Raw genomic sequence first — 7,640 nt, forward strand, 5'->3', positions numbered from 1 at the left:
TATATATATATTCGAGCGTGGTGGTGGGTGCCTGTAATCCCAGCTACTCAGGAGGCTGAGGCAGGAGAATTGCTTGAAACCAGAAGGCAGAGGTTGCAGTGAGCTGAGATCACACCATTGCACTCCAGGCTGTGCAACAAGATTGAAACTCTGTTTCAAAAAAATAAATAAATAGTCCATGCACAGTGGCTCATGCCTGTAATCCCAGCACTTTGGGAGGCCGAGGTGGGTGGATCACAAGGTCAGGAGATCGAGACCATCCTGGCTAACACAGTGAAACCCTGTCTTTACTAAAAATAGAAAAAATTAGCCGGGCGTGGTGGCGGGTGCCTGTAGTCCCAGCTACTCGGGAGGCTGAGGCAGGAGAATGGTGTGAACCCAGTGGGTGGAGCTTGCAGTGAGCCAAGATTGTGCCACTGCACTCCAGCCTGGGCAACAGAGCGAGACTCCGTCTCAAAAAAATAAATAAATAAAATAAATAAATAAATATAAATAAATATAAATAAAATAAAATGGCAATACTCCTACCCTGTTTCTATTAAGCAGGTGGGTTTTTTGTTTTTGTTTGTAGCCAATGTGCTTATTGTCACCTGACATGTATTTGATGTTTTGTTATTGATTCGCTGCCCTTACTATTCCATGAAAGCAGGTTTTTTTTTTTTTTTTTAGATGGTGTCTTGCTCTGTTGCCCATGTTGGAGTGCAATGGCACAATCTTGGCTCACTGCAGCCTTCGCCTCCTGGATTCAAGCGATTCTCCTTCCTCAGACTCCAGGGTAGTTGGGACTACAGGTGTGTGCCACCACACCCAGCTAATTTTTGTAGTTTTAGTTGAAACGGGGTTTTGCTGTGTTGGCCAGGCTTGTCTTGAGCTCCTGACCTCAAGTGATCCCCCCGCCTCAGCCTCCCAAAGTGCTGGGATTACTGGCATGAGTCACTGAGCCCGGCCAGGGATTGATTGATTGATTGATTGATTGATTTGTGGAGTCTTGCTCTTGTTGCCCAGGCTGCAGTACAATGGCATGATCTTGGTTTACTGCAACCTCCGCCTCCTGGGTTCAAGTGATTCTCCTGCCTCTGCCTCCCGGGTAGCTGGGATTACAGGCACCCGCCACCATGCCCGGCTATTTTTTTGTATTTTTAGTAGAGACGGGGTTTCGCCATGTTGGCCAGGCTGGTCTCGAACTCCTGACTTTGTGACCCGCCCGCCTTGGCCTCCCAAAGTGCTGGGATTACAGGCATGAGCCACCGCGCCCAGCCTCAGGCAGGGATTTTTTTTTACCCTTTTGTTCTTTGCTGTATCCCTAGCATATAGAACAGGGCCTGGAGCACAGTAGAAGCTCAAGAAATATTTTGTGGAGTAAAAGATTAGAGATGTAGAGAAAATCAAGCTGAGAGAGGTAGAGAAACAGCTGATCTCGTGTTAGCCACTGGGTACAACTGTGCCTGCGTAACCCTGCGCTTTTAAAAAACGGAAGTCAACGCAAATCTCTTCCTCAGGAAATTGATATTTAGACTGTGCATGTATGTGAGAGGGAGGTGGAACAAACAAGATGGACACCTGTTTCAAAATTTGGTCACAATAAATTGTTATGAATGGCAAACGGGCCCCAGAGTTAAATGCATGTTTTCTGGAGTTGGATCAATATTTGAACAGCACCCACTTACCATGGGACCTTGAGTAAGTTACTTAACCCTCCCTTGCCTGAAGCCTGGCTGACATGGTGAGACCTTGTCTCTATAAAACACGTTTTTTTTTTGTTGTTGTTTTTTGTTTTTTGTTTTTTTAAGTAAGCCAGATGAGGTGGCACCCGTCTGTGGTCCTAGCTACTCGGGAGGCTGAGGTGGGAGGATCACTTAAGCCCAGAAGGTGGAGGCTGCAGTGAACCATGTTCATGCCGCTGCATTCCAGCCTGGGTGACAGAGTGAGATCCCGTCTCTACAAAACATTGTTTGTTTGTTTGAGAGACGGAGTCTTTTTCTGTCGCCTAAGCTGGAGTGCAATGGCGCCATCTCGGCTCACTGCAACCTCTGTTTCCCGGGTTCAAGCGATTCTTCTGCCTCAGCTTCCCGAGTAGCTGGGACTACAGATGTGTGCCACCATGCCCAGCTAATTTTTGTATTTTTTTTAGTAGAGACGGGGTTTCGCTATATGTTGGCCAGGCTGGTCTCGAACTCCTGACCTCAGGTGATGCGCCTGCCTTGGCCTCCCAAAGTGTTGGAGTGTTGGGATTACAGGTGTGAGCCACCACGCCCAGCCAACTTTTTTTTTTTTTTTTTTTGAGACGGAGTCTCGCTCAGCTGCCCAGGCTAGAGTGCAGTGGTATGACCTCAGCTCACTGGAACCACCGTCTCCCAGGTTCAAGTGATTCTCCCATCTCAGCATCCTGAGTAGCTGGGATTATAGGCACCCGCCATGGCTAATTTTTGTATTTTAGTAGAGATAGGGTTTCACCATGTTGGCCAGGCTGGTCTTGAACTTCTGACCTCAGGTGATCCACCCGCCTCAGCCTCCCAAAGTGCCAGGATTACAGGCGTGAGCCATCGCACCCGGCCAACTTTGTTTTTAAGTTAGCCAGGCGAGGTGGCATGCGTCTGTGGTCTCAGCTACTCAGGGGGCTGAAGTGGGACGATTAATTGAGCCCAGGAGGTGGAGGCTACAGTGAACCATGTTCACACCACGGCACTCCAGCCTGGGTGACAGAGTGAGACCCCATCTCAAAAAAAAAAAAAATAGTGGACGATAAGTGTCTCTTCCGGCCCAGACATGGTGGCTCTTGCCTGTAATTCCAGCACTTTGGAAGGCCGAGGCAGGGGAATCAATTGAAGATAGTAGTCTGAGACCAGCCTGGGCAACATAACAAGACCCTGACTCTACAAAAAAGAAGAAAAATTAGCCTGGTGTGGTGGTATGTGCCGGTAGTCCCAGCTACTCAGGAGGTTGAGTAGGATCACCTGAGTCTAGGAGTTCGAGGCTGCCACGAGCTATGATCGCACCACTGCACTCCAGTCTGGTTACAGAGCAAGACACTGTCTCTAAAAATAAATAAATAAGTAAATAAATAAATAAAATGTATAAAGTGAAAATAATGTCTACTCCATAGAGCTATGGTAAGGATTAAATTAGATTGTGTCAAGTTCTTTTTCTTTTTCTTTTTTTTTGAGATGGAGTTTCGCTCTTGTCACCCAGGCTGGAGTGCAATGGCACAATCTCGGCTCACTGCAACCTCCGCCTCCCAGGTTCAAGTGATTCTCCTGCCTCAGCCTCCCGAATAGCTGGGATTACAGGCATGTACCACCACACTCCGCTAATTTTGTATTTTTAGTAGAGACGGGTTTCTCCATGTTGAGGCTGGTCTCGAACTCCTGACCTCAGGTGATCCGCCCGCCTCGGCCTCCCAAAGTGTTGGGATTACAGGCGTGAGCCACCGCGCCTGGCCCCTGTGTCAAGTTCTTAAAACAGTATCTTGACATACAATAAGCATTCAGTAAGTATAGCAATTTGCTTAAACTAGTTCAAGAAGGATGCTGAACTAACATCCAAATGATCTTAAGAGGCTGGATGCGGTGGCTCATGCCTGTAATCCCAACACTTTGGGATTTGGGAGACAGAGGAAAAAAATACCCATTTGGGCAAAAAATATCCAAATTGTCTTAAGGTCTTTCTTTTCTTTTTCTTTTCTTTTCTTTTTTTTTTTTTTTTTGAGACAAAGTCTTTCTTTGTCACCCAGGCTGGCGTACAGTGGTGCAATCTCGGCTCACTGCAACCTCCGACTCCCGGGTTCAAGCGATTCTGTCCTGCCTCAGTCTCCTGAGTAGCTGGGATTACAGGCGTGCACCACCACGCCTGGCTAATTTTTGTATTTTTAGTAGGGATGGGGTTTCACCATGTTGGTCAGGCTGGTCTCGAACTCCTGACCTCATGATCCACCTGACTCGGCCTCCCAAAGTGCTGGATTACAGGCATAAGCCACTGTGCCTGGCTGGTCTTAAGGTCTTAATACTCACAGAAGACCAAAATTTAAAAAAAGCCTGTAAAGGAGCGGCAAGGCACAGTGGCTCACACCTGTAATCCCAGCATTTTGGGAGGCCAAGGCAGGTGGATCATCAGGCCAGGAGTTCGAGACCAGCCTGACCAAAATGGTGAAACCCCGTCTCTACTAAAAATACAAAAATTAGCCAGGCGTGGTGACACACGCCTGTTATCCTACCTACTCAAGAGGCTGAGACAGGAGAATCGCTTGAACTGGGGAGGCGGAAGTTGCAGTAAGCCAAGTTCTCGCCATTGCACTCCAGCCTGGGCGACAAAGCAAGACTCTGTCTCAAAAAAAAAAAAAAAAAAAAGCATGTTGTGTGCTAGTAATTGGTCTTTCATCAGACCTTATATGATACTTAAATTTCTGTATCTCTACTCCCAACCCACATAATTCCTGGGCATTCCTCATTATTGCTCCAGGGATAATGTTTGAAAACCTAGTGATTATTTTTTGCCCATTCACCAGAACTCCCCCTTCTCCTCATAACAGCCCCCACATTTAATGTCCACTTATGGACTCTCCCAGGCTCCACCCCTGTGATTCAAAGTTTCTGTGCCAGCTCAAAGGGTGGGCGCAGGACCCAGGCCTGGCTAATCAGCACATCTCATTCCCCTGAACACAGTGATTGGTTTAGAGGTGGACACATGACACAAATTGGCCCAATGGGCGCCTGCTCTGGGACTTTTTGCTGGAGCTGATGGGAAGGAGGGGCTCTGCTTGCATGGGATGGGGGAGCTGTTGGGATATAAGCCTATGCCTCCACAAGGTATGAGCCTGCCTTGGAGTAGAGCTATATATATATATATGTGTGTGTATTTTTTTTTTTTTTTTTTTTTTTGTAGAGACGGAGTCTTGCTCTGTCTCCCAGGCTGGAGTGCAGTGGAGCGATCTCGGCTCACTGCAACCTCCGCCTTCCAGGTTCAAGCAATTCTCTCGCCTCAGCCTCCCAAGTAGCTGGGATTACAGGTGCATGCCACCACACCCAGCTATGAGTACAGCTATATTAAATAAAATATTATTTGGGCTACTGTAACAGCAACTCAAATAATAGTGGCTTAAGTAAGATAAAAATTTATTTCTCTTTTATGTAACACTCCAAGTATCAACAGTCCAATATGGTAGCTCCCTGGTCTCATAGGCCCAGGCTCCTTCTAGCTTGTTGCTCAGCTATTCAGACAGTGTGAACCACCTAATCCAAAATGATCCACTCCACGTCTTCATTCCCACCAGCAGGAGGGAGGAAAGGGGGAAAAGAAGGACACACCGCTTCCCTTTAAGGGCAGGTTCTGAAATTTGTTCACATCCTTTCCCTTTATATCTTATTGGCCAAGACTTAGCCAGTGGCCAGATATGACCACACCTTGCTGCAGAGGAGGTGGGAAATATGGCTTTTACTTTGGGAGGCCAGCTAAAAATCAGTGGTTCCATTACCATAGAAGAAGGTGATTAAATTTGAGGGGACAATGGACTATCTCATTCTCAGAGCAAATCAGAGCAAAGAGACAGCAAGAAAACCCTGATGACATCTTATGAGTGCCTGGATGCAACTGTGCCTGAAGCCCTACTCATTGGACATTTCAACTGCATAAGCCACAAATGTCCTTTTTTGCACATGCCTCTTTGAATTGGGTTTTTGGTCGCTTGCAACAGAAAGAACTCGATTAGTGCAATGAGATGTAAAGACCATAGCTGATGTTCTCTGCTGAGTAGGAGCTCATAAGTGGGCATATTATTGTGGTTGTGACTATGTAGCAGTTCGCCCTACAGCTCATTTCATCCTCTCTATTGTACTCCAACGCTGACAGAGAGCTCACGCCTCTCTTTTCATCCTCACAATCCTTTTCTTTTTCTTTTTTTTTTTTTTCCAGACAGAATTTTGCTCTTGTTGCCCAGGCCGGAGTGCAGTGGAGCGATCTCGACTCACTGCAACCTCTGCCTGCCTGGTTCAGGTGATTATCCTGCCTCAGCCTACCGAGTAGCTGGGATTACAAGAGCCTGCCACCATGCCCGGCTAATTTTTTGTATATTTAGTAGAGAAGGGGTTTCACCATGTTGGCCAGGCTGGTTTTGGAATCCTGGCCTCAAGCAATCCACCCGTCTTGCCCCCCCAAAGTGCTAGAGCCACTGTGCCCAGCATTTTTTTTTTTTTTTTTGAGATACAGTCTCACTTTGTCACGCAGGCTGGAGTGCAATGGCATGATCTCGGTTCACTGCAACCTCCACCTTCTGGATTCAAGCAATTCTCCTGCCTCAGCCTCCTGAGTAACTGGGATTACAGGCACCCACCACCATGCCCAGCTAATTTTTATATTTTTTAGTAGGGACAGGGTTTTACCATGTTGGCCAGGCTGACCTTGAACTCCTGACCTCAAGTGATCCGCCCACCTCAGCCTCCCAAAATGATGGGATTACAGGTGTGAGCACTGCGCCTGGCCCTTTTTTTTGCTTTTTGAAACAGGATCTCGCTCTGTCACCCAGGCTGGAGTGCAGTAATCTCGGCTCACTGCAACCTCCACCTCTTGGGCTCAAGTGATCCTCGTGCTTCAGCCTCCAGAGTAGCTGAGACTACAGGTGCAGGACACCAAACCTGGCTAAATTTTATTTTATTTTTTGAGATGGAGTCTCCCTCTGTCGCCCAGACTGGAGTGCAGTGGTGCGATCTCGGCTCGCTGCAAGCTCCGCCTCCTGGGTTCACGCCATTCTCCTGCCTCAGCCTCCCGAGTAGCTGGGACTACAGGCGCCCGCCACCACGCCCGGCTAATTTTTTTGCATTTTTAGTAGAGACGGGGTTTCACCTAGCCAGGATGGTCTCGATCTCCTGACCTCATGATCCGCCTGCCTCAGCCTCCCAAGTGCTGGGATTACAGGCGTGAGCCACCGCGCCTGGCCAATCTTTGTATTTTTTTGTAGAAATGGGGTCTCACTATGTTGCCCAGGCTGGTCTCAAACTCCTGGGCTCAAAATCCTTCCACCTTAGCCTCCCAAAGTGCTGGGATTACAGATGTGAGCCACCACACCCAACCTCTTTTTCTCTTCTTTGCACAGATGGGTTATCTGTGACAGGAAGAGGAAGAAGGTGAGGGCAAGTGAAAGGGCCCATCCTCACAGCCCTTATTGACTCATGGGTAATGATGCTATTTGTTTCTAATTCTGATGGAATTTCAGTTAGTCACTCTCCCATATATACAGTAGAAAAGAGGCATATCACCCCAAAAATGTTGGGGAAGGAAGTCCTAAACCCTCTTTGTGTGATAGGATCCTTTATTTATTTATTTAGTGAGATGTGATCTCACTGTATTGCCCAGGCTGCTCTCGGACTCCTGAACTTAAGCAATCCTCTTACCTCAGCCTCCCAAAGTACTGGGATTACCCTCCTGAGCCACTGTGTCCGGCCAGACAGGATCCTCTCTGGCATCTGGGTTGAGTGTCATACCCGACTCAACACCTTTCTTAGGGCTCTTAGTTTTTTTGTTTTTGAGACAGGATCTCCCTCTGTCCTCCAGGTTGGAGTGCAGGGGCCCAGTCACTGCTCACTGCAGCTTCAACCTCCCAGGGCTCTGGTGATTCTCCCAGCTCAGCCTCCCAAGTAGGTAGGATTACAGTC

The sequence above is a fragment of the Homo sapiens genome, chromosome 19 (assembly GCF_000001405.40).
Source record: "Homo sapiens chromosome 19, GRCh38.p14 Primary Assembly".
Taxonomy (NCBI): Eukaryota; Metazoa; Chordata; class Mammalia; order Primates; family Hominidae; genus Homo; species Homo sapiens.